We start from the raw sequence: 25591 nt of genomic DNA on the forward strand, positions 1-25591 counted from the left end.
ACATCAGGTTACTTTTTTGTAAGGATTAAAGCAGAGGGTAGTTCCTTATCATGCCTGCTAAAACTGGCTTGTTTGGGTATTCTGTCTCTCTTGATTTTTTAGAAGGTCAGATAAACAACTTACTTTTCTTTTTTCCTTTTTTCTTTTTTTTTTTTTTTGAGACGGAGTCTCGCTCTGTCACCCAGGCTGGAGTGCAGTGGCGCGATCTCGGCTTACTGCAACCTTTGCCTTCTGGGTTCAAGCTGTTCTCCTGCCTCAGCCTCCTGAGTAGCTGGGACTACAGGCGCCTGCCACCACACCCAGCTAATTTTTGTATTTTTAGTAGAGACCAGTTTTCACCACGTTGGCCAGGCTGGTTTCGAACTCCTGACCTTGTGATCCTCCCACCTTGGCCTCCCAAAGTGCTGGGATTACAGCACTGGCGTGAGCCACCACACCCAGCCCACAACTTACTTTTCGTTTGGTGACGTGGAACTTTAGCTAGAGTGACTCTGTTTTGTTTGATCTAGTCTCTTGAGGCCTAGTACAGGAGCTCAGTCCAAATCAGTGGCCTCCTGTCATTTTTGTTTAACATATCTAGGAAATCCTTGCCTAACCCAAGATCTGACAGTCTTTTGAAATGGGACTGGATTTTAAACTAAGCTAGGATCTCAGGTATCCAGAAGGCATTTAAGTTTATAACGTGTCTCACCGGATACGCTGGAGAGTCATGGGGGAGGAGAAGAAAGCCAGTTACAAAAGTACATCATCAGTTGTTCAGTCATCTGTCAGTTTATGTGTGAATGCCCCTCATGAGCCAGGTCTGTAATCCAGTGGGCAGTCCCCATCTCCTGCATTGTCTCTGTGACTTATAGTTTCGTTCTTTCTGCTGTCAAATGAATATATAAAGAAAATATCCAAAAACTTAATAAATTGTAATTAAGAAGGCAAATCTCCCATCTTTCTCTTCCTGAAAAAATCCAAGTGTAAATGATTTTTTTTTTAACATAAAGCAAATCGTTATACTACTCTTTTCCATAAAGCATTTGGGAACTGATTGCTTGTTAGGGTAACCTGAAAGCTCTGCCACTATTTCCCCTAATATTTAAATGTTAAGAAAGGGAATGTGACTTTTTTTTTTTTTTTGAGTCAGGGTCTCACTCTGTCACCCAGGCTGGAGTGCAGTGGTACAATCTCAGCTCACTGTAACCCCCACTTCCCGGGTTCAAGCGATTTTCCCACCTCAGCCTCCTGAGTAACTGGCACTACAGACATGCACCACCATGCCCAGCTAATTTTTGTATTTCTGGTAGAGACGGGGTTTTCATCATGTTAGCCAGGGAGGTCTCAAATTTCTGACCTCAAGTGATCCGGCCGCCTCAGCCTCCCAAAGTGCTGGGATTACAGGCGTGAGCCACTGGGCCCAGCCTACAATTTTAAGTTCTATAATTGGTAGAAAATTTCCTCAGTTTGGGGGGCTCATCTTCAAGAGTGGAGACTAAAGTAGGTTCTGTAATTGCGCTGGCTAAAGAACAAAGAATTCTATAGCACTGTGAGCTGGAGAATGTTGTAGCAGGTTAATAAGGGGCTTACTCCATTTTGTCAGTAACCAGCATTGGTTCCAGGAATTCAAGAGGTGGTGAGATATTATGCTTAATGGTAATAAGATACCACTTATTGGTAATGTACCAGGCATTGGTCTCTGGCATCTTACCATCTTTGTACTCATATCTTCACAGGAGCACAAGAAAATTAAACCATCCACCTTTTACAGATTTAGGGATTTAGTAGAAGGCTGAAGGAGGCCAGATAACTGAACTTTTACTTGTACAGCTAATATTAAGTCGGTGCAATAGTAATTGCGGTTTTTGCAATTACTTTTAAAGTTTCAGAACCCTGATTTGAAGCAGAGCGTCTGGGAGTCTCTTCGTTCTGTTATACCAGAGTTGTTCTTGTATGTGAATAAGGAGCGTATCTGAATGCCTTGGCTTCAGCCCTGGAAGCCATTGCATTCTGACCAACCTTTGTGTAACCATTTTGTAGACTGTGAGGACTCTTGTCACTCCTTAAATTCTCTCCTAAACATATTATATTTTGCTTCTGAAGATGATCCAAATACCCTCAAAACTCAGGTGGAGATACTGTTAAAAGATAGTTTTCAAAAAGGGTAAGATCATAACTCATTTTAAATATAAAATGAACACATGTTAAAAATTTTAACTCATAAGACAAGCAGTTACAACCAGTTCAGGGAGAGTAGGACAACAAAGAGCAGACATACATGTAGTAATGTCAGTAATGTCGAAATGAACACAACTGGCTTTTCCACAGGGAAGGATTATCAAGACAGTTCATTTACTTATCCATGGACAAGAGTGATTTGCATTTCCCTCAGTTCTACACAACTTAGAGTTGCTGAAGGGCAGTGAAAGGCTAGAATCATATAACCTAGAAGGATGTGTTCCAAAGCTTAGAGTATAAATCTAAATATTGCAGTTTCCCATTGGAAACATCCCATGGTCTTTTTTAAAATTTGTTTACAGAATGTGAGAGTTTATAATACTATTGTCTCGTTTTTTTTTCTTCCATAACATATTTAAAATTCTTGCTTAAAAATGTTTTTGATGGGGATAGGGGGTTGTGAATTAAATTCCTAACATGTCCTAATAGTTACATGTTATGCCTAATCTGTTAGTGTACTTGGGTGATATGACACTTATTTTAAGCCTGATGCACTTAGAAGCATGTTCTACTTTGGATATCTGTTCTGAGGATGGTAGCTACAAAATGAACTTGTGCCCTTTCGCAAATTGTTGGACTTGTGGTGGTTGTCTTGTGTCCCTAGTATCTGATTTGGAAGACTCAATTAAGGGTTTAAAAGCCTGCAGAAGGCGCGGGCCGCCACGCCTAACTGGTTTTCATATTTTTTTGGTGGAGACGGGGTTTCGCTGTGTTGGCCGGGCTGGTCTCCAGCTCCTAACCGCGAGTGATCTGCCAGCCTCGGCCCCCCGAGGTGCCAGGATTGCAGACGGAGTCTCGTTCACTCAGTGCTCAGTGTTGCCCAGGCTGGAGTGCAGTGGCGTGATCTCGGCTCGCTACAACCTCCACCTCCCAGCCGCCTGCCTTGGCCTCCCAAAGTGCCGAGATTGCAGCCTCTGCCCGGCCACCACCCCGTCTGGGAAGTGAGGAGCGTCTCTGCCTGGCTGCCCATCGTCTGGGATGCGAGGAGCCCCTCTGCCCGGCTGCCCAGTCTGGGAAGTGAGGAGCGCCTCTTCCCGGCCGCCATCCCATCTAGGAAGTAAGGAGCGTCTCTGCCCGGCTGCCCATTGTCTGAGATGTGGGGAGCGCCTCTGCCCGGCCGCGACCCCGTCTGGGATATGAGGAGCCCCTCCGCCCGGCAGCCGCCCCATCTGAGAAGTGAGGAGCCCCTCCACCCAGCAGCCGCCCCATCTGAGAAGTGAGGAGCCCCTCCGCCCGGCAGCCGCCCCATCTGAGAAGTGAGGAGCCCCTCCACCCGGCAGCCGCCCCGTCTGAGAAGTGAGGCGCCCCTCTGCCCGGCAGCCACCCCGTCCGGGAGGGAGGTGGGGGGCAGCCCCCGCCCGGCCAGCCGCCCCGTCCGGGAGGGAGGTGGGGGTCAGCCCCCGCCCAGCAAGCCGACCCGTCCGGGAGGTGGGGGGCACCTCTGCCCGGCCGCCCCTTCTGGGAAGTGAGGAGCCCCTCTGCCCGGCCACCACCCCGTCTGGGAGGTGTACCCAACAGCTCATTGAGAACAGGCCATGATGACGATGGCGGTTTTGCAGAATAGAAAAGGGGGAAAGGTGGGGAAAAGATAGCGAAATCAGATTGTTGCTGTGTCTGTGTAGAAAGAAGTAGACATCACTTTGTTCTGTACTAAGAAAAATTCTTCTGCCTTGGGATGCTGTTGATCTATGACCTTACCTCCAACCATGTGCTCTCTGAAACATGTGCTGTGTCCACTCAGGGTTAAATGGATTAAGGGCGGTGCAAGATGTGCTTTGTTAAACAGATGCTTGAAGGCAGCATGCTCCTTAAGAGTCATCACCACTCCCTAATCTCAAGTACCCAGGGACACAAACACTGCGGAAGGCCTCAGGGTCCTCTGCCTAGGAAAACCGGAGACCTTTGTTCACTTGTTTATGTGCTGACCTTCCCTGCACTATTGTCCTATGACCCTGCCAAATCCCCCTCTGCGAGAAACACCCAAGAATGATCAATTAAAAAAAAAAAAAAAAAGAAAAAAAATTTTTTTAAATATAAGGTAATCTACATCTTCTGATATGGAAAGAGGTCTATCTATATATTCCCCTAATATATGTATTAACTAAAAAAAAAAAAAATTAAAAAAAAAAAAAGCCTGCAGAAACTTACGCTGTTAGGTAAGAGTTGGCAGTCTGACTCCCCTAGGAGTGACTTCCCCCTTCTCCCTTTCTAATGTCAGCAAGAGATAAATGCTATATGGCCAAAATTTTTGATTCCTTTGATCTTAACTCTTTGTGGTGTTGGGTGGAGAGTGGTTGGGAGAGGGTGGCAAAAAAGTTCACCTTTCAACCAGTCTTCCAGTCAGTTGGATCATCTTTTGAACTGAAAGGCTCTTGGATCTTTTTTTTTTTTCTCCCAGAAACAGAGTTTTGCTCTGTTGCCCAGGCTGGAGTGCAATGGAGCAATCTCGGCTCACTGTAACCTCTGCCTCCTGGGTTCAAGTGATTCTTTTATTTATTTATTTATTTTTGAGACGGAGTCTCGCTCTGTTGCCCAGGCTGGAGTGCAGTGGCACGGTCTTGGCTCACTGCAAGCTCCGCTCCCGGGTTCACGCCATTCTCCTGCCTCAGCCTCCCGAGTAGCTGGGACCACAGGCGCCCGCCACCACGCCCAGCTAATTTTTTGTATTTTTAGTAGAGACAGGGTTTCACCGTGTTAGCCAGGATGGTCTCGATCTCCTGCCCTCGTGATCCGCCCACCTCGGCCTCCCAAAGTGCTGGGATTACAGGCTTGAGCCACCGCACCTGGCCTTGGGTTCAAGTGATTCTTGTGCCTCAGCCTCCCGTATGGCTGGGATTACAGGTGTGAGTCACTACACCTGGCTAATTTTTGTATTTTTAGTAGAGACGGGGTTTCACCGTTGTTGGCCAGGTTGGTCTCAAACTCCCAACCTCAGATGATCCACCCACCTTGGCCTCCCAAAGTGTTGGGATTACAGGCGTGAGCCACTGCGCCCGGCCGACATCCCTTCTTAATGTCCTTTTCTTAAATGTATGAGGAGTGGGCCACTGAGCAGGGAGAGCCCTGGTTGGGGTCCTTTGATTGGAGAATAGCAGTAATAATGGGGAGGAGAGGTAGAAATGCAACCTGGACATTTGTAGGTCTTTGGCCACAGCTTGTGTTCAGATGGGAACTGGTAGGCCACCTGGCTTTTAGTGAGACTGTTCACCTTGCCTTCTGTTGAGCCCCATTGTCTTGGTCAACTGTAGTTCAGTCTGTCTTCCGTTAGTCTCCACCCTTCCTCCACTAGCAGAGAAGAGGACACATTTGCCTTTCACCTGGTGTAACATCCCTCGCCTCTTCCCCTTCTCTCTTTTCTTAGTAGCAGTGCCGTACCACATTCTGTGGGCTTCCTGATTTGAGAACTCTGGGGCTTGTATCCCATGGATGGTGGTAGAGGTTAAGTTTAAGTTTTCTCCATTTGTCCTGAGCAGGCATAATGTTATGCTTTGCATTATTTACTACACTTGTTTTGGAGCATTAAAAAATTCCAAGTGTGGAGACAGATTATCCTTTACCTAAATGAATTTGTTTTACTTTGGGATGTTGTTGGAAGTGGTCATAAGGAAATTGTTGAGGAATATAAATCTAGCCCCATGAAATGCCTGTTAAGTAGAATTCTTTTTTTTTAACTTGACAAGTAATTTTTAATTGATAAATAAAAATGGTATATGTTTGTGGTGTACAATATGATGTTTTGAAATATATATACACACATTGTAGAATGGCTGTATCAGGCTATTTAACATTTGCATTACCTCACATACTTTTTTTTTGTGGTGTGAATGTTTAAAATCTAGTCTCAGCAATTTTCAAGTATACAGTACACTGTTATTAATCATAGTCACCATGATGTACAACAGATCTCCTATTTCTCCTGTTTAACTGAAATTTTGTGTCCTTTGGCCATTGTCTCCCCAGTCACCCTACCCTCAGGTTCTGGTAACTACCATTTTACTCTCTGTTTCTATGAGTTTGTTTTCTTTAGATTCCACAGATAAGTGAGGTTATGCTCTATTTGTCTTTCCTGTGCCAGGCTTATTTCACTAAATGTAATGTTCTCCAGGTTCATCCTCGTTGTGGCAAATGACATAATTTCTTTGTTTTAAAAGGCTGACTAGTATTCCATTGTGCATATATGCCACGGTTTTTTTTTTCTTTTTTTACAGGCAGGGTCTCACTGTGTTGCCCAGGCTGGAGTACAGTGGTGCGAACACAGCTCACTACAGCCTGGGTCTCCCAGGCTCAAGTGATCCTGATCCCTTAGGGCCCAGCTGCCTCATCCTCCCAAGTAGTTGGGACCACAGGTGCACAATACCACACCCAGCTACTGTATTAATTTTTTTAGAGATGGGGTTTCACCATGTTGCTTAGGCTGGTCTCAAACTCTTGGGCTCAAGCAATCCTTCTGTCTTGGCCTCCCAAAGTTGCAGGATTACAGGTGTGTGCCACTATGCCTGACCAACTACGTTTTCTTGATCCATTCGTCCATGGATGGATACTTAAGTTGATTCCATATTTCAGTTACTGTGAATAATACTGCAGTGAACATGTGAGTGCAGATCTCTTCCACGTACTGATTCCATATCCTTTGGCTATATCATTGGATCAAATGGGAGTTCTATTTTTAATACTTTCAGCAGCCTCCATACTGTTTTCCATAATGGCTGTACTGATTTACATTCCCACCAACAGTGTGCAAGGGTGCCATTGCTCCACATCCTAACACCAATCTTTGTCTTTTTGGTAGTAGCCATTCTAACGGGTGTGAGGTGGTATCTCAGTGTGGCTTTAGTTTGCATTTCCCTGATGATTAGTTGAGCTACACACACACACACACACACACACACACACACACACACACACCCCTATTAGTCATTTGTCTATTTTCTTCTGAGAAATGTCTTTTTAGGTCCTTTGCCCATTTTAAAAATTAGATTATTTGTTTTCTTGCAATTGAGTTGCTTGAGTTCCTTATATGTTTAGGGTATTAAGCCCTTATCAGATATATGTTTTGCAAATATATTCTCCCATTTCGTAGATTATCTCTGCACTCTGTTGTTTCTCAGTATGATTCTTTTTTTCTTTGAGACAGGGTCTCACTCTGTCACCCAGCCGCTGGAGTACAGTTATATGATCACTGCTCGCTACAGCCTTGACATCCTGGGCTCAAGTGATCTTCCCACTTCAGCCTCCCAAGTAGCTGGGACTACAGGCGCATGCCACCACACTTGGCTAAGGTTTTCTTTCTTTTGTTTTCTGTAGAGATGGGGTCTCCCTATGTGGCCCAGGCTGTTCTTAAACTCCTGGGTTCAAGCAGTCCTCGCAATGTATTGGGATTACAGGCAAGAGCCACTGCACCCAGCCTCTATTGTTCTTATAATACTTGATAATAAAACACATGTGACTGCCTTGCAAAACTCCTTAGAACTCCTCAGGAGGACTGTCTCCAATCTGATGAAACTAAACTATCACTAGCAGATTTTCACACCTAATCAGAGAAAACTTTGTGTTACACAGAATTGTAAAAATTTGCATTGAAGTTTTAAAACTTTACCCTGCTCAGCCAAGGACTCTATAAAAGCTGCTCCAGTCAATCATTGTGATCAATTTCTGTTTAGTTTTTGAGATGGAGTCTTACTCTGTCTCCTGTGCAGTGGCGCGATCTTGGCTCATTGCAACCTCTGCCTCCCGGGTTCAAGCGATTCTCCCACTTCATCCTCCCAAGTAGCTGGGATTACAGGTGTGCACCTGGCTAATTTTTGTATTTTTAGTAGAGACAGGGTTTCACCATGCTGGCCAGGCTGGTCTTGAACTCCTGACCTCAAGTGATCTGCCCGCCTCGGCCTCCCAAAGTGCTGGGATTACAGGCATGAACCACCGCGCCTGGCCAAAGAGCCAGTATTTTTATTGTGTGTCAGGAGGGAAAGAAGATGGTGTAGATATCAAGTAGTGAAATGAGTAAGGGCTATAAATTGAGTCTTGAGATGTTTGAAGAGTATATATTAATCCTAGTAAAATGCCTTAGAATTGTTTAGACCAACACTGTATAGTAGAACTGTCCAATATAGTAGCTATGGCTGAGAGACTGTATTTGAGATCATGCAATTTCCTTTAAATAGCCACCGGTGGCTAGTAACTGTTACATTGGACAGTTCAGGTTTAAACTAGTTTTCTCAATTTTTTTCATTATTGTACCTCTCTTTTACCCCTAAGCCTTTTTAGACCTTTTTTTCCTAATGTCTCCCCTGCTTCAATGAAATTTTAATACCGTGGATATGCTGTGCATACATTGTGGCTCCTAGAGGGCTGCAGATCCATGTTAATTATCACCTCTGTTAGGAATGTGTGGTCTAGACTAATCAGGGATTGGCATCATAGTGAAGCCTAACCAACTGTTGTTATATTTCTTGGGCAGTTAAAATCACTAAAGGCTAATCATACTTACGATGAGTATTATTCAGAACTTCAGAACTGAGAAAGTTTTTGGAGTTTTGGAAGTTTATAAAATGCTCAGTCATCCTGTTTTTCTTCATATGTGACATTCTTAAAGCATCAACTTGTTTTAGTAATGGATAGTACTTGTACAAAGATACAGACATTTAAAGAAATAAAAGGAGCCTAATCCAGCCAGAGGTAGGCAACCAAGAAGTTAAGGCATCTAGAAGCCATGTTGCTTGCAGAAGAGTTGAGAGAACCAGAGATGTACAGTTTTGGTGATCGATAGACTGGGTGTCTCAAATAATAAGGGATATCACATGGGAAAAGGATTAGATTGGTACTTTGCTGCCTCACAGAACAAGGCAGGGAGAAGAACTACACAGAGACAGAATCTAGTTCACTGCATGATTTTGCAGCTAGAATAGTTTGAAGATGGAACACTGCATAGGAGGAAGTTAATCATTATTGAAAGTGTTTGGGCAGAAACCAGGTGATGTTTCAGTATTGTGGACCAAGTATATCGACTAATATAGAGCTGAAATAAAATGACTTTTAAGGATTCATTGTGGGGCTGGGTACGGTGGCTCACGCCTATAATCCCAGCACTTTGGGAGGCTGAGGCGGGCAGATTACCTGAGGTCGGGAGTTTGAGACCAGCCTGGCCAACATGGTGAAACCCCGTCTCTACTAAAAATACAAAAATTTGCCGGGTGTGGTGGTGGGCATCTGTAATCCCAGCTACTCAGGAGGCTGAAGAGTTGCTTGAGCCCAGGAGACAAAGGTTGCAGTGAGCCGAGATCACGCCACTGCACTCCAGCCTGGGTAGCAGAGGAAGACTGTGTCTCAAAAAAAAAAAAAAGAGAGATTCATTGTGGCTGAGTTTCAGGTGCTTTGGTTTTGTTCTACAGCTGGCCTCACCATTTCTAAATACATAGAATTGTAACCATAAGAGGTCCATTACCTGATGCATGCAGCAATGCTGAGACACTGGGTTGTAGCAGAGAAAGAGTTGTGTGTGTGTTGGGGTGGGGTGGGGGGGTGGTGTTGGAGACAGGATCTTGCTCTGTTACCCAGACTGGAGTACAGTGGCAAGATCATAGTTCACTGCAGCCTTGAACTCCTAGGCTCAGGAGATTCTCCTGCCTCAGCCTCCTGAGTAGCTGGGAGTAGGCACGATACCATGCTTGGCTAATTTCTTATTTTTTGTAAAGACGAGGTCTTGCTGTGTTGCCCAGGCTGGTCTCGAAACTCCTGGTCTCCCAAATTGTTGGGATTACAGGTGTGCCACCGTGCCCAGCTGAGAAAGAGGTTTAATCATAGGGCCACCTCATGAGGAGATAGGAGAGAACTGCACATCCATTTCCCTAGGGAGTTTGGGGCTGGGATTTCTAAGGGTTTTAAGTGGGCTGAAGTGTGGAGATTGTTGATTGGTCAAAGAGTGCAGAGTGAAGTCATGGGACAGGGAGAGAAGCTGTATTCTCATGCTGATCATGTTCCTCCATGGGGGTCTTCAAACTGGTTGCTGGAATTGGGGTCTGATATACATCTTAAGCAATCCTTAAATAAAAGCCTTATGATTCTAATGTCAGAGATGCTGTCTATAGGAACAGTGGGGACACAAATCAATTTTCACACAATTTTATGACCCTGATGTTAGAAATCCTATCTCTAGGAACAGTGGGGATGCAAAAAGTCAGACTTGTAGCAACAAGGAAAGGGGCCAAAGTACAGTCTGATTAATGCTTTGTTGTAACTATATTTCTATCCAGAACCAGCAGGCCATTTTTTTCAACTCTGTGGAGGCGGTTTCAGAATTGTGTAGATGCCCTTGTCCAGGAAGGAGTTGTGAAGTAGCTAGTTGAATATAGCCACTGAGGTTTCCAGTTTAACACTTACAAAGCTACAGGACACAATCTTGTACTTACCAGCTTATAGAGAACTGAGATGGCCCCTTTTTGAAGTAAGAAAGTGTTTACAGTTTTGTCTGCAGGTCATCCCCAGCACCTAGCTCAGTAATGGACACTTCATGGCACTCAGCAAGTGTTTGAACTGGATTTGGTGTGTTTACCCCCTAGCTCATGGTCAGTGACTACTGCTTCTGAATTAAAAATAGCAACACATGATCAGATTTAAGTGGGGCCAGAAAGAGGCTGTTAGGGCATAGGATATTTTAGCATGAAGTGGATAGGATCATGAGTGGTAACCCATGTTCTTAGGGCCCATGTGCCTATGTGGTCACTGCAAAACAATAAAAGTGGAGGCAAGAATTCAAATTAGTATATGGGAGTGAGCCACTTAGTGACCCAGTGCCCATGTTTCAGTGCTGCTTTGTTTTTCTTCTAACAAAGGGCATTTTTGCCCTATGTAAAAATTGGTATTGGCCAATTAGGACTTCACAAAGGTCTCCATATCTTCCTCAAATGACAAGGGTCTTATGCTAAATGTGACTCTCTACTGCCCTGTTTGTTAACATATGATGCAGTACACCAATGCAGATCACACTGCAGTTTTAGGTAGTATATAGCTGAATGCATAATTTGTATTAGAAATACAACAAGGACATTAGACTCATGTCTGCATTGACATGGATACAGCAAAAATCTTGAAGTTAGTGTGAGAGATTACAGTAGTGAGATTTGGAAGATGGAATAATACTTGTTGATTAAGTGCATATTTTTCATTTAAGTTAGAAAAGCCCTCATAACAAAGCCACCCATATTTCATGTGTCAAATGGAATGCTAGGAGCTTTCTGTGCATTATCTCATTTGTGGAGGATTCTCATTTTTCACATGGAAGCAGAGGGGCATTTAAGTTCACACAGCTGCCACTTGGGGTAGCTTATCCCTGTAATCCCAGCACTTTGGGAGGCCAAGGTGGGAAAGAATGTGTGAACCCAGGAGTTTGAGACCAGCCTGGGCAATGTAGAGAGACCTCATCTCTACCAAAAAATTTTTCAAAAAAGAAAAGCTGGGCATGGTGGCGTGTGCCTGTAGTCCCATCTGTTCAAGAGGCCAAGGGTGGGAGGATCTCTTGAGCCCCGGCGGTCGAGGCTGCAGTGATCATGCTCTACTGCACTCCAGTCTGGGAAGGAGGGAGAGACCTTGTCTGAAAAAACAAAAAACAGTTCACACAGCTGAATGTATCTGAGGTGAGATTGAAACCCATGGTTGTGGCCGGGCACGGTGGCTTACTGTAATCCCAGCACTTTGGGAGGCCGAGGCGCTGAATTACCTGAGGCCAGGAGTTCGAGACCAACCTGGGCAACATGGTGAAACCCTGTCTCTACCAAAAATACAAAAATCAGTTGGGTGCGGTGGCACGTGCCTGTAATCCCAGCTCCTCAGGTGGCTGAGACAGGAGAATCCCTTGAACTTGGGAGGCAGAAGTTGCAGTGAGCCAAGATCGCGCCACTGCACTCCAGCCTGGGCGACAGAGCGAGACTCCATCTCAAAAACAAAACCCATGGTTGTGATCCTAAAACCGGAAGGTTGGCTTTCCATTGTCTTGTTTTGGCAATTTCTAGCCATCTTTCTTTCCCCAGTGTTCAGTATAATTAGCAGTCTTCCTGAGAATTTGGGAGCATTTCCTTCTGGTTACCTACAATAGGGACTGTGATCTCAAGTTCCTTAAGCATCTTTGAATGGGACAAAATAGAACCTGGCCTGCTACCTTGCACATGACTAGCTATGGAGCCTTAGACAAGTTGTGTAAATCTCGAATTCTCAGGAAGAAAATGCCATTTGAGCTCTAGCTGAATGGAGAAACACTGCACATGCCAGAACCGTTCTCCCTCATGGTCCATCCAGGCTGATGCCCGCATGGGTGGAGATGCTTGCTGTCTTCCTCCCTGTGCCCTTTTCCCAGCCTCACAAGCAGCGTGTGAGGTCACCTTTGATGGTGCCACATAAGCTCCATGGGCTGGCTCTAAGGGACAGCACTGTGTTCATGGCACAAAGGCCTGCTGTGACCAGTAGTAACAGCAAAAGTGACTGTACCTTCTGATACTTAGCCACCCCTTCTTGTGACACACATCAGCATGCCTCTGTTGTCCATAGTAGGCTCTAGTAGGATGCAGGGCTGTCAGCAGAATTTATTGAAACCTGGAAATGGCGGGGTGGGGGGTGGGGGAAGTGCCCAGGCATTCTTTATGTCTTGTATAATCTCTCTAGATTTTGTTTACTCTCTTCAACTATTTATTACCAAAGGATCACAGGTCACCAAGCATGAGGAAGTACTGTCTATACGTTTTAAGTAAGAGTCCAGGTAACACTTATTGTTGTTGCTGCTTCAGAGAATTCTCCTTGGCCAGAATTGTCAGCCCACCTTTTCTTGCTTAGTGGTATATATGAGGTGTCATAATGGGCAAGAGGTTCAAAGTCTTCATTTGAGTAAGAGAGTGTCTTGTGCTAAGCATCTGCAGCCCTCAGGGGAACCTAAAAGAAGGCACTCTCACAGAGGCAGTGACCCAAAAATGTATATCTAAACAAAGACAGATTGGCATTCTCCATCATCTCTTACTTGGCCTCTGGGCATGTCCACTGTCCCTGCACAATTGTTTACCAAGCCCTTGCACCACAGGCACTACTGGGATTAGGAATTTGGGGATGAAGGAGAGAATACCTTCAAGGAGAATTTATCCCCCGCCCCCCCGCCCCCCACAAACACACACCTCCCACCTGCTCTATCCTCCTCCTGCCCTACCCCCACTTAGATGAGAGGCAGAGACCCAGGTAGTCATGATTCAAGTATGCTTTTCAAAAAGGTGTCTGGGCCCCAGGTGCTCTTGCGTTTGAGGGAGTAGTATCCAGGAAGACAGGCTCTCAACACTGCCTAGACCTCACCTGCCCCCTCCAGATGAGCAGGCTCCTGGGCAGAAAGGGCATTACATTAGGGGGTGAGGTGGGACCCTGTGGGAGGAATGGCAAGCCCATTTGAGACAAGCCGTGTGGTGGCTGGGAACGAGGTGTATTCTGGAGAAGGACTGTAAGGGTAGACTAGATATCTCCCTCACCTGGCTGCTTTTATGTGCCCGCTCAGGCCTCTAGCCTTGGTGGATCTATGCCTTCGGGCCTTGTTCCTGAATCCCAACTGTCTCATTGGCCTGCCAGGATAACTTACTGCGCCACCCCCCTGATGCTTAGCTGCTCTCTGTACCTGAACCATCAATCTTGCTCTTTCTCATTCCAGTCATTTAACATTTTCCAGCATGCTTTCTGGGAACTTCTCTGAAGCTTGTTAAGGGATTGATAACCAGTAAAATGTTTTGACCAGTTATTTTTAACATGCTGAACACTTCTTTTTAGGCATTGCACGTTCAGCTGTTTAGTCTTGCCTTTGAAAACATTCAGTATTTCTGCTGGTAGTGCTCTCTCCTTTGCTGTACTTTGCCATGATTATGTCATCTGGGCCACCAGACAGCAGACCTCTAGATGGCAGGTCCAGCCATCTCTTCTCTTTTGCTTTCCGTGTCTGGTGAATGCACGTAACATTCCCAATTTAGCACAGGCGTCTAGATAGACTTCAGCCATAAAATCCTAGCACAAACTAGTATTCCCTCAGTTAACAGTGAAGCTTAAATATAACTAAATACCACTGTATCTTTAAAAATAGATTTGGTTGAGAATCACCTCAAACTTAGCATGTCTAAAATCAAACACAATTCCTCCCCAAGAAACACGTTACTGTTTTTCAGACTTCCCTGATCTAAGAAATCCTCTTGGTCCCATGAGACATAAACACAGGTGACTTCCTTGGCGTTTTCCCTCATTTCCCATACCCATCCCAATCCAATCCATCACTAGATGCCATCCACCTTTACTTTCTCCCCATTCTCTTCTGCTTTCACACTGGTCTAGTGCAGTCCTCTCTTGCCTGAAGGTGGCGCAGCATCCTCACTGTCCACCGCAGGGTCTCCTACCCTCCCCACTGCAGGCAGGCAGGGCGCTGGCTCTGCAGGATGAACACTGCTGCTTAGAAATCTCCACAAGTCAGGCTTCTCATTACTCTGTGGTTTTGGGACCTTAGTACGGCCCACTGTGTCCTGCGTGATCAGGCCCAGGCACCTCATTTTCATATCCCCCTCCAAGTAAGGCCTTGCATGTGCGTTCTTTAAGGAAAACTGTTTGTTCCCTTTTCCCCCTTCATATCCAGGTTCAGTTCTTCCCAGAGGAATCCTTCCCTAATTCTCCCAACCAAGGTAATTACCCTTAAAGTAAACTTAACACGTCTTGATCACAGTAGTATTTTACTTTTTGCATTTGGTATGATTTCTCCTTATAGTCTCGTATCTACTTTTGCCCTTGGTATATGTTTGATTAATATAGTAAGATTAATAACACAATGATTAGTAGTCCTGGGGCTTAAGAGTTCTATTCATGGCATGATTTTTTTTTTTTTTTTTTGGAGACAGTCTCGCTCTGTCGCCCAGGCTGGAGTGCAGTGATGCAATCCCAGCTCACTGAAACTTCTACCCCCCAGGTTCTAGTGAGTCTCCTGCCTCAGCCTCCCTGGTAGCTGGGATTACCAAATATTGGAGTAGAGCTTCTTAACTCTGTAGAAGAGAGAACAGAATTACATTTTTGCATCTGGGCACAGTGGTGCATACCTATAGTCCCAGCCACTCAGGAGGCTGAGGCAGGAGGTCACTTGAGCCACAGGAGTTCTGGGTTTTAGGGCATTATACCAATTGGGTGTCTGCATTAACTTCGGCATCAGTAGAGTGACCCCTCAGAAGCAGGTGACCACCAGGTTGCCCAGGGAGGGTGAACCGGCCCAGGTTGCGAATAGAGCAGATGAAACATCTCTCCTATGCTGATCAGTAGTGGGATTGCACCTGTAAAAAGCCACTGCACTCCAACCTGGACAACACAGTGAAACCCGTCTCTTGAAAATAAAAAATTAAAAGAATTTTTTAGGCTGGGCACAGTGGCTTATGCCTGCAATCCCAGCACTTTGGGAGGCTGAGCCAGGCAGATCAGTTGAATTCAGGAGTTTGAGACCAGCCTGGCCAAAATGGTGAAACCCCATCTCTACTAAAAATACAAAAAGGCGTGGTGGCTCGCACCTGCAGTCCTAGCTATTCGGGAGGCTGAGACAGAGTTGCCTGAACCCTGGAGGGGGAAGTTGCAGTGAACAGAGATCGCGCCACTGTACTCCAACCTGGGCGACAGAGCAAGACTGTCTCAAAAAAAAAAAAAAAAAAAATTCTTTAAGGTATTTGGTCAGCTCCTTGATGTGCTTCTCTCACTAGATATTTTCATTGTAATGAAAGTGTTTATCCTGCCCCCCTAGATCCTTAATGTTTCTTTTCAAAGGCTTCTGTCTTTTCCTACTGAGTTTCTTCCTAGAGGTGGTAATTCTAAATGGAACAACAGACTGACGGCCTACTTCCCGAGTGCCCCCAAATGACTTCATAATTCCACAAAAGTGGCTTGGCCAGAGCCATCCACTCATCCCCTTCCTTCTTCCTTGTCAGACTACTGGTCTTTCTATTCTTGCCCCCTCCCCAGAATGAATATTTTTAGAAACCAAGTGACTCCTGATGAGCTTCTTTTTCTTCATCTGTTAAATGGGAATTCTCATTGTATCCCTATAGGCTTGGTTTGTTGGAGGAGTAAACAAATTGCCCCAGGAAAGTCTGTAGTACAGTCCCCGGCACAAAGTGCATTCTGTAAGTGGTAGTGATGTCTTGCTGTTTCAGGGGGTCTTCACTATTCAGGCCCTAATTAGATTCCTCAGTTTGGGAAGTTGAGAAGAGTCTGCCTACAACAGACACTGCTGTTCTGCTTGATGCCCAGTGCAGTAGTATTATGTGACTTTCGATGCCTTTCTGGTCTCTCCTCATGACCTTCTCCAAAACTTTATGAGCAAATATTGCTTGCCTACTTCACTCTGAGCCTTGAAGTCAATCAGTTTTGAGGGCAAGATGACTGCTGGGTCTTCTCTAATGGTCATATACAGAGCATGAAGTCTTGGAAGAAAATGAGATGGACAGAGAGACATTTACCCATGTTCCGTGCTGGTGAAAGTGTGGAATGTTACTTTGGAATCTGCTCAGAAGCCTGCTACTTCCGAACTCTGTATCCCTATGATGCTTCCTTCCCAGTGCTATATTTAGATCATATGTGCAATAAGTCACATTCTAGTAGGCAGGGTAGGCAAAGACCATCAGCAGAATGAGAGACACATGGATGAAATGTATTCTACTAATCCAAGAAATGCCGAGTGATTAAAACATTTGTGAGTCTGATCAGATTATGCTGACAGAGTGTATATGTAGGTTCATCTCATCATAATTGAAAACAATGCATACTTAGCAGCAAGGGAAATTTTGAGATTATCCATGTGCTGAATATCATGCAACCTTAATGTTAATAACATGGGAAGATATTTAATATAGAAAAAGCAAGATGCAAAGTTATACATGGTATATAACCTCAACCATTTGAAGGAAAACTAGAAAGACATATACTCTAATACTAATAGTGATTGCTTCTGGGAGATGGAATTGTCAGTAGCTTTTTGTCTTCATTCTTTCGTACCTTCCTGAGTTTTCTACAATTTGATACCATAGTTAGGGTGGGAACAGTGCAGGGGAGCAGAAAAGCCAACTGTGATTAGGACCCAGTTGTTGCAGACAGGCAACTTGGAAACACCAACCAACTAAAAATGTTAACAAACTATAGAACATTAATTGGTTTAACTGTCATGGCTTTGTTGAACCTTTAGCATTTGTTCAAATATCTAGTGCTATCATTACGGTTTTGGATCGGGCACAACATGTAAATCAGAACAGTAGTTGTAGACTCTTCACATCAGTGGTTTCCAAACTTGGTGTGTATGCCTGAATTGCCATAAAAGACTTGTTAAAAGTCCCAGCCCTCACAAGCCAGAATCCTCCTTTGGGTGAGAGCTGGTACTGCAAAATGGCATGGTAGGACCTGGGCTGACACTCCTGGTAATTCCAGCTCTGCCACTTCGTTGCTGTCTGACTGTGGATGTGATGAACACCTGGTTCAATTTCATCTCCTGCATTTTACACTGTTGTTTTGATGGCTTTGCAGATATAGTAATCCTCTTTATCTGCAGTCAATCGTGGTCTGAAAATATTAAACGGGAAACTATAGAAATACTATTCTTAAGTTTCTTTTTGTTTGTCTGCTTTTTGAGACAGAGGGTTGTTCTGTCACCCAGGCTGGAGGGCAGTGGAGCGATCATAGCTCACTGGAGCCTTAAACTCCTGGGCTCAAGCCATCTTCCCACCTCGGCCTGCCGAGTAACTGGGACTTACAGGAGTGTACCACCATGCCCAGGTAATGTATTAAATATTTTGTAGCGACTGGGTTTCAACATGTTGCCCAGGTTGGTCTCAAAACTCCTGGCCTTAAGCAGTCTTCCTGCCTCAGCCTCCCAGAGTTCTGGGATTACAGGCATGAGCCACTGCACCCTGCCATAAGTTTTAAATTGCGTGCTGTTTGGATTAGCTTGATGAAGCTTGTGCTATCCCACCCAGGAAGTGAATCATCGCTTTGTCCAGGGTTTCTACACCATAGATGCTACCTGCCCGTTAGTCACTTAGTAGCTGTCTTGGTTATCACATCAATGTTGCAATGCTTGTGTTCAAGTAACTCATAATTGACTTAATAATGGTCCCAAAGCACAAGATGCTGGCAATTTGGTTATGCCACAGAGAAGCTCTTGAAGTGAAAAGGTAAAAATTGTTGACTTAATAAGGAAAGTGAAAAAATTGTATGCCGAGGTTGCTAAAATTTGTGAGAACATATTTTCTATCTTTGAAATTGTGAAGAAGGAAAAAGAAAATCATGCTAATTTTGCTGTGACACCTCATACTGCAAAAGGTAAAAGCCACAGTATATGATGAGTGGTTAGTTACAATGGAAAAAGCATTAAATTTGTAGGTGGAAAACATGAACATCATCAATGTGTCCTGACGGATGACAAGTTTGGTACTTGCTGTGTTTCAGGCATTCACTGGGGGTCTTGGGGCCTACCCCCCATGGATAAGTGGGTACTACTATACTTTGCTTTCAATTCCTGCAACACCATAAAGCCTTCACCTCCACGTGAGCTGTTATCCTACCTGCAAGAATTCAGACTTTCGAATTGCTAACTGACCCCCAACTTCCTAGCCCTTCCCTGCTGTCCTCATTTTCACCATAGCAGTCCTTTGCCCTTCCCCTAGGTACCCCTGTGTATTCCTGGTTAACCTCTTTCTGACCACCGACCTCTGCCCACCCAAGCCCTTGAACAATATTTTTCTTGATCTTTTTACCTGCTCATGTTTCCTTATTTTGTCTGCTTATGTGGCCATTTGGCTTTTCTGTGGCATAGATGAAGAAGGTGATGACTGCAGGCGAATAAAGGAAGATGCCAGCTTTTGATTTGTTATGAGAAACATTGTACTTGAAAGAAAGAATTGTTTCATCGTTCAAATACTGGTACCAATACTGGTAGTTTCGCTCTGAGGAGCTTCTTCCGATGCACACTGGTGAGGTTTGGTTTGGTGGCAGAAGGAAAGAAATGTGTTATGAATATACCTTATTCTAGAAAATTTTTAGAGGATATTAATATATACATGGATTAATGGATGTTATCTAAAATGCTTTCCTTGAAGGACCAGGTCTCAGAGATCTTATGTAACTCTTTCTTCCTTTCTACTCTGCTGGCTGCAGATTCTCCTGTGAGAGGAAGTGGTCGGTGCTTTAGAGAACTGTTTTCCAGTTAGAAATTTCAAACTTTGTAGCCTTTTTTTTTTTTTTTTTTTTAAATCTTTGACTTCATTTCGCTCTGTTGCCCAGGCTGGAGCGCAGTGATGCGATCTCGGCTCACTGCAACCTCTGCCTCCTGGGTTCAAGTGATTCTCCTGCCTCAGCCTCCCGAGTAGTTATTACAGGTGTGTTTCACCACACCCAGCTAATTTTTGTATTTTCAGTAGAGATGGGTTTTTACCATGTTGGCCAGGCTGGTCTCGAACTCTTGACCTCAAGTGATCTGCCCGCCTCAGCCTCTCAGAGTGCTGGGATTACAGGCATGAGTCACCCATGCCTGGCCATAGGCTTTTAAAAAATAATTTCAGTCTTCAGAAATCCATGAAGATGGAAATAGAAATTGATAACAAAAGCAGAAATTGCTTTTGGACATTTTGAAGCTAACTCTGCTTGGGCAGCTTCTTGTAGCAAAAGTTGCATTTAGTGTGTTTTGTTCCTGGCTTTTTTTTTTTTTTTTGAGATGGAGTTTCACTCTTGTTGCCCATGCTAGAGTGCAGTGGTGTGATCTCGGCTCACTGCAGCCTCCACCTTCCAGGTTCAAGCGATTCTCCTGCCTCAGCCTCCCAAGTAGCTGAGATTACAAGCGCGTGCCACCACGCGCAGCTTAATTTTTGTATTTTTAGTATAGCTGGTGTTTCACCATGTTGGCCAGGATGGATTTGTCAGTCTCTTGACCTCGTGATCCACCTACCTCAGCCTCCCAAAATGCTGGGATTACAGGCATGAGCCACCACGCCTGGCCCCTGGCTCTTTTCTAGAAACAAGTGTCCCATTCTTGATCTGGGAGAACATTAAGTACAAAAATATACCTTTTAACTTTTGCCAGTTTAAAGCCATCAATGTCCTGGTGAAAGAAGATGTGGAATTCTTAGTATCAGCTGTTTAGTACCATTTGCAACAACTCTGAAATGCTTAGCCAGCCCTGAGTGAAGATGAAAATCTGCATTTAAATGTAATTTGTCTTACATGATGAGTGGAGATTTTTGTCATCAGAAATTGATTTGAAAAAATCAACAGATTAACATTTTTCTCCAAAGTGGAGGTGGCTGTTTGAGTGTAAAGGTAATGTGCTCCTCTAAGAGTCACAGTTAAGTATAAGGAAACAAAAACATCTGTAATCCCACCACATGGAACAACTTGCTAATATTTGTGTATATTCCTTTCTGCTTCATGTGTAACCATTTTTACATTTAAATCTTTACTCCTTTGGGAATCTCTTGGAAGAGGAGATGTAGAGATCTTAATTCTCACCAAAATTTTTCTGGCTCTTACCATTTAGTGAATTGTTCATCTTTTTGCCACTGAATTTTATAATGCCATATTTGTCAAAATTGTTCATTTCTGGTGTCTGTTTCATTGATCGGTTTAGTCCTATTCCAGCACCCCACTGTTAATACTGTATTTTTATAACATGCTTTTCAAGACTGTAAAGGCAAGTCTCTTGTCATTTGTGTTTTAGGGGAAGGGACATTTCTTGTGTATTTATTTATTTTTATGAATAAAAACGGGATTGTTTATATTAAATGCTCCCCAGCCTCCCCTTCCCACCTCAAAAACAACAACAACAACAACAACCCTGGACTTGTTTAAATAGGAGAGAATGCATGAATGCAAGTCTTTACATTAAGGCTCCCATAGACTGTTTATTCAAATTCTTTTTTTCTCTGTAAAATTATTTTTCTCATTTAGGTCCTGTACTCGTGCTAACCACTGTAATAGTGATTGTTGTATAAATGGGAAAAATCTTTCAGGAAAGTGAATTAGCAAAAATCATGAAAACTTCTTCATGTTTTGTTTGTTTTTTTTTTTAAAGACAATTTTGCTCTTGTTGCCCAGGCTGGAGTGCGGTGGTGTGATCTCAGCTCACTGAAACCTCCGCCTCCTGAGTTCAAGCGATTCTCCTGCTTCAGCCTTTTTGGTAGCTGGGATTAGTTGCCCACCACCACGACCAGCTAATTTTTTGTATTTTTGGTAGAGACAGAGTTTTCCCATGTTGGCCAGGCTGGTCTCGAACTCCTGGCCTCAGGTGATTCACCTTCCTTGGCCTCCCAAAGTGCTGGGATTATAGGCGTGAGCCACCGCGCCTGGCCAAAACTTTGCTCTGGACTCAGAAATCCCATCCCTAAACAGAATCTGTGAGTTACAGTTGACAAAATCCTTTCCTTGCATGAGAATTTGACTTTTGTTTAACTTTCTAGCTCTGTTTCCCTGGGAGCTAGATAAGGCAGAACATAACATTTGTTTCTGGGCATGGTCCTTGTGGTAAAATGTCCCCTGGTTGGTAAATTACATTTGGATGGGAAAGAGCCATGGATAAGTGATGGGCCACCCAGGCTTTTGTTTCATGGAACACAGTGACTCTGCTGGGCATGTCCTTATGGGGAGCCTAAGGAGCTGTCAAAAGAGATACTTGCACCCCCAGGATTGAGCATTCTGAGTCAAGGTATTGAGTCGGCACAGTCTCCCTGTGCCTGAGCCATCTTCTGTATGGACTCTTGCAAGAACTGCTGCTGCTGATGACCTGCCACTGCCCTGCCTGCCAGCTTTGTCTGTCCCAGTCTTTCTCAGTGGGCTTGTGCCACATGTGGCCTGTGATAATCTTACGAGTCAGAATCTAGAAAGATCTACCCACCCATCAACCCTCACACAGGTGTTGCTGTATCTCAAGGAAGTAATCCCATAGATTACAGCATTTTTTCCAAATTTTTGTTATATTAAATAAAGAGCGGGAATGGCTATTTAAATGCTTAATTCACTCAGAGGAATATTAGACATTAAGACGTAAGGTGGTCTCACGGTCACTGCTTTGTGACACGTGTGGGTAGAGACTCAAAGGGAAGGAAACAAACATGAATTCTATCATGTAGGAGTCTGGAGGTTGAAGTGTATTTCCTGTTTTTTTTCTTTTTAATATTATTAAACAGCATTGGTACACCAGTGAAACCTATTAACAAAGCAAGTTATGCAAATCCCTTTTCCCATTCTTAAAATCAGTCACTTTCATAAATATTCTCCAAATATCTTTGCATATCCTTTTATCATCTTTTTATCTATTTTCTTTTTTTTTCCTTTTTGAAAAAGAGTCTTGCTCTGTCGCCCAGGCTGGAGTGCAGTGGTGTGATCTCAGCTCACTGCAACCTCTGCCTCCTGGATTTAATCGATTCTCCTGCCTCCGCCTCCCGAGTAGCTGGGACTACAGGTGCGCACCACCACACCCAGCTATTTTTTTGTGTATTTAGTAGAGATGGAGTTTCACTATGTTGGCCAGGGTGGTCTTGAACTGCTGACCTCAAGTGATCCACCTGCCTCGGCCTCCCAAAGTGCTGGCATTACAGGTGTGAGCCACCACACCCAGCCTTTTTTTCCCTTCCCCACCACTCACTGCAACCTCTGCCTCCTGGGTTCAAGCGATTCTCCTGCCTCAGTCTCCCGAATAGCTGGAATTACAGGCACCCACCGAGCTAATTTTTATTTATTTATTTATTTATTTATTTATTTATTTATTTATTTATTCATTTGAGACAGTGCCTCGCACTGTCACCCAGGCTGGAGTGCAGTGGCGTGATCTCGGCTCACTGCAACCTCCGCCTCCCGGGTTCAAACGATTCTCCTGCCTCAGCCTCCTGAGTAGCTGGGATTACAGGCGCGTGCCACCATGCCCAGCTAATTTTGTTTTGTTTTTTGTTTTTTTGAGACGGAGTCTCGCTCTGTCGCCTAGGCTGGAGTGCAGTGGCGCAATCTCGGCTCACTGCAACCTCCACCTCCCGGGTTCAAGCCATTCTCCAGCCTCAGCCTCCTGAGTAGCTGGGACTACAGGCACATGCCACCACGCCCAGCTAATTTTTCATATTTAGTAGAGACGGGGTTTCACCGTGTTAGCCAGGCTGGTCTCGATCTCCTGATCTCATGATCCGCCCGCCTTGGCCTCCCAAAGTGCTAGGATTACAGGTATGAGCCACTGTGCCCAGCAATTTTTGTATTTTTAGTAGAGACAGGGTTTCATCATGTTAGCCAGGCTGGTCTTGAACTCCTGACCTTGTGATCCACCCACCTCGGGCCTCCCAAAGTGCCGTTATTACAAGCATGAGCCACCGTGCCCAGCCTTTTCTATTTTTAGTAGAGACGGGGTTTCACCATGTTGGCCAGGCTGGTCTCGAACTCCTGACCTCATGATTTGCCTACCTTGGCCTCCCCTTCTTTCTATTTGAAACTTGCCCCCATTATCATCATCTGATCTCTATCTTGAAATATGATACCAGACCTTAGAGTGTGACATTTAAACTTTGACCAGTCAAAGCGGTCCCTGGGGAGAAAGGTAGGGGAATAGTGGGGCTCCACATATAATGGATAGTTTGGGGTATACCTCTCAGTGCTGATTATGATGGAAGACAGAACTCCAAGTCATCTTATACTGCCCCTAACTAGCACTAGTAAGAACTTTCTAGATGAATGCTGGTGGGCTGAGATACCGTGTCTTCACAGTCCAGCCATGGGCATGAGGCTTTTGGCAGAGAAACAGCTTGACCCTCTGCATAGGTCATGGGACCTGGGGTGTGTGCCTAGCAAACCATCCTCTAGTCTGGCTCCTATTCCCATACTGTTCTTGTAGCCAGAAACAGACTCTGAAGCCATCGAGGATGGTTACTTTCAAGAGCGTAGGCCTTCTTAGCAAATCCTGCCCTTTAGGACAGTAGTCAGGTCTGATATTTCCTTTTAGTTAGTGGTCTTGGGTGTAATACCACCTCTTGAGAAAGAGAACAATTGACAGCCAAGCATCTGGAAAGAGAGGGATAGCTGGATTACCTTGCCTAGGAGCTGTAACCTGCTGCTTCTCTCACTGTCTTCTGGACTCTGTGTTCTGTTACTCATCTCTGTATTTGGCATACCTTAAGATGGTAGCGGCCAGTATTTACTAGTCATCTGCTGTATTCTAGTTACTGTCCTGAGCATTTTATTTATTCAGTCTTCACAGCATTCTTAGGACATAAGAGCTGTCATCTCTATATTCCCTATTCCAACAGAGAAATTAAATGACTGGCTCAAGGTCATATAGCTAAATTAATAAGCGGCAAAACCAGAATAGAAATCCCTGTGGCCTGGGTTCATATCTGCTGCTTAAGTCACTCCCACTATAGGCACTGCTGTCAGCCTTGCCTTCAAAAGGTAGGTGGTTAAAGAGGAAACTAACAAGTAGTTCTTCTGAGTCCCATTCATTTTCTGGAAGTCACTGAGTCATACCCTGGCAAATGAGAGGCAATTACAGCAGGAGCCCTGTCTTGATGAGTAGATAGACCATGCTGTGGCAAGTCCTGGAAGACAGTTGAGCAGAGATCAGGCATTTTTCACATCTTCTGGTTATGAGTAGACAAGGCTGCCTGAAAGATTTTCTGGAAAAGAGTAGTCACTAGAGCTGCAGAGTCAAGTATTCAGACGGTACCCAACATTTAATAAATTTCTACTTGGCATTGAGTATACAGTGGGGAGTAAAACTGTCTTCATGGAGATTGTTAGAAAAGGGATAGACTAGATTAATATAGTACATAAAAATGTCAATTAGTGGTAAGTGCTCTGAAGGAAAAGCAAGCAGAGTAACGGGATAGAGAGCAAATGAGGGGTTATGCTGCTTTAAATAAAGCGGTCACTTCTTTGAGAAAGTGATACTGAAGCAGCGACCTGAATGAAGCAAGGACCAAGCTGTTGAGTAAGTTGGAGCATTAGTTCAAATTGCCAATCCATTCAATTGATCCACCACCCAAGTGAGAGAATACATTCTCTCCAACAGCTTGCAGGGGCAGGATGGCCCTGCTGTGCTGTTCTGCCTCGCTCTTGGGTCCAGAGTTTTGGTGAGTGATACTGTTTTTTATCAGTGCCCCCTGGTGGAAGGAAGATACCTAGCAGGAAGGTTCAGGGCCCTGCACTGTTGGGGCTGCTCAGACATTTGTGCAAGGGAGGTGTTTTGTTTTGGTGTTTCCATCACACTCACAGTGATTTCTCCTTTTCCCCCTTTAGTTTGAAGGATGACCTCTAGGAAGAAAGTGTTGCTGAAGGTTATCATCCTGGGAGATTCTGGGTAAGTTACTCATGAATTTGAGCTAACAGATTG

At 44.5% G+C, this 25591-nt stretch overlaps 1 protein-coding gene and 1 pseudogene across 1 annotated transcript in view, besides 4 other annotated features; both read left to right on the forward strand.

The window, feature by feature from the left end:
- The window catches only part of RAB7A (RAB7A, member RAS oncogene family), an 88616-nt gene that overhangs the window by 43680 nt on the left and 19345 nt on the right, over window positions 1–25591 (forward strand). Inside the window, exon 2 of the mRNA NM_004637.6 lies at window positions 25498–25558. Within this exon, the coding sequence (NP_004628.4) occupies window positions 25506–25558 (53 nt within the window). The 5' untranslated portion in view covers window positions 25498–25505. The remainder of the gene's footprint in view (window positions 1–25497; window positions 25559–25591) is intronic.
- Window positions 196–696: an enhancer, noted in NCBI's record as "H3K4me1 hESC enhancer chr3:128488901-128489401 (GRCh37/hg19 assembly coordinates)". NCBI's record gives its function as "activates a minimal SCP1, AML or CMV promoter by ChIP-STARR-seq in primed H9 embryonic stem cells {active_cell/tissue: H9 hESC(primed)}" and the evidence as "EXISTENCE:reporter gene assay evidence [ECO:0000049][PMID:30033119]".
- Window positions 11461–11961: an enhancer, noted in NCBI's record as "H3K4me1 hESC enhancer chr3:128500166-128500666 (GRCh37/hg19 assembly coordinates)". NCBI's record gives its function as "activates a minimal SCP1, AML or CMV promoter by ChIP-STARR-seq in primed H9 embryonic stem cells {active_cell/tissue: H9 hESC(primed)}" and the evidence as "EXISTENCE:reporter gene assay evidence [ECO:0000049][PMID:30033119]".
- Window positions 11962–12462: an enhancer, noted in NCBI's record as "H3K4me1 hESC enhancer chr3:128500667-128501167 (GRCh37/hg19 assembly coordinates)". NCBI's record gives its function as "activates a minimal SCP1, AML or CMV promoter by ChIP-STARR-seq in primed H9 embryonic stem cells {active_cell/tissue: H9 hESC(primed)}" and the evidence as "EXISTENCE:reporter gene assay evidence [ECO:0000049][PMID:30033119]".
- On the forward strand, window positions 15285–15586 carry RN7SL698P (RNA, 7SL, cytoplasmic 698, pseudogene; annotated as a pseudogene).
- Window positions 23984–24133: an enhancer, noted in NCBI's record as "active region_20495". NCBI's record gives its function as "activates an Ori minimal core promoter by ATAC-STARR-seq in GM12878 lymphoblastoid cells {active_cell/tissue: GM12878}" and the evidence as "EXISTENCE:reporter gene assay evidence [ECO:0000049][PMID:35858748]".

Source organism: Homo sapiens, chromosome 3, assembly GCF_000001405.40.
Source record: "Homo sapiens chromosome 3, GRCh38.p14 Primary Assembly".
NCBI classification, from domain to species: Eukaryota; Metazoa; Chordata; class Mammalia; order Primates; family Hominidae; genus Homo; species Homo sapiens.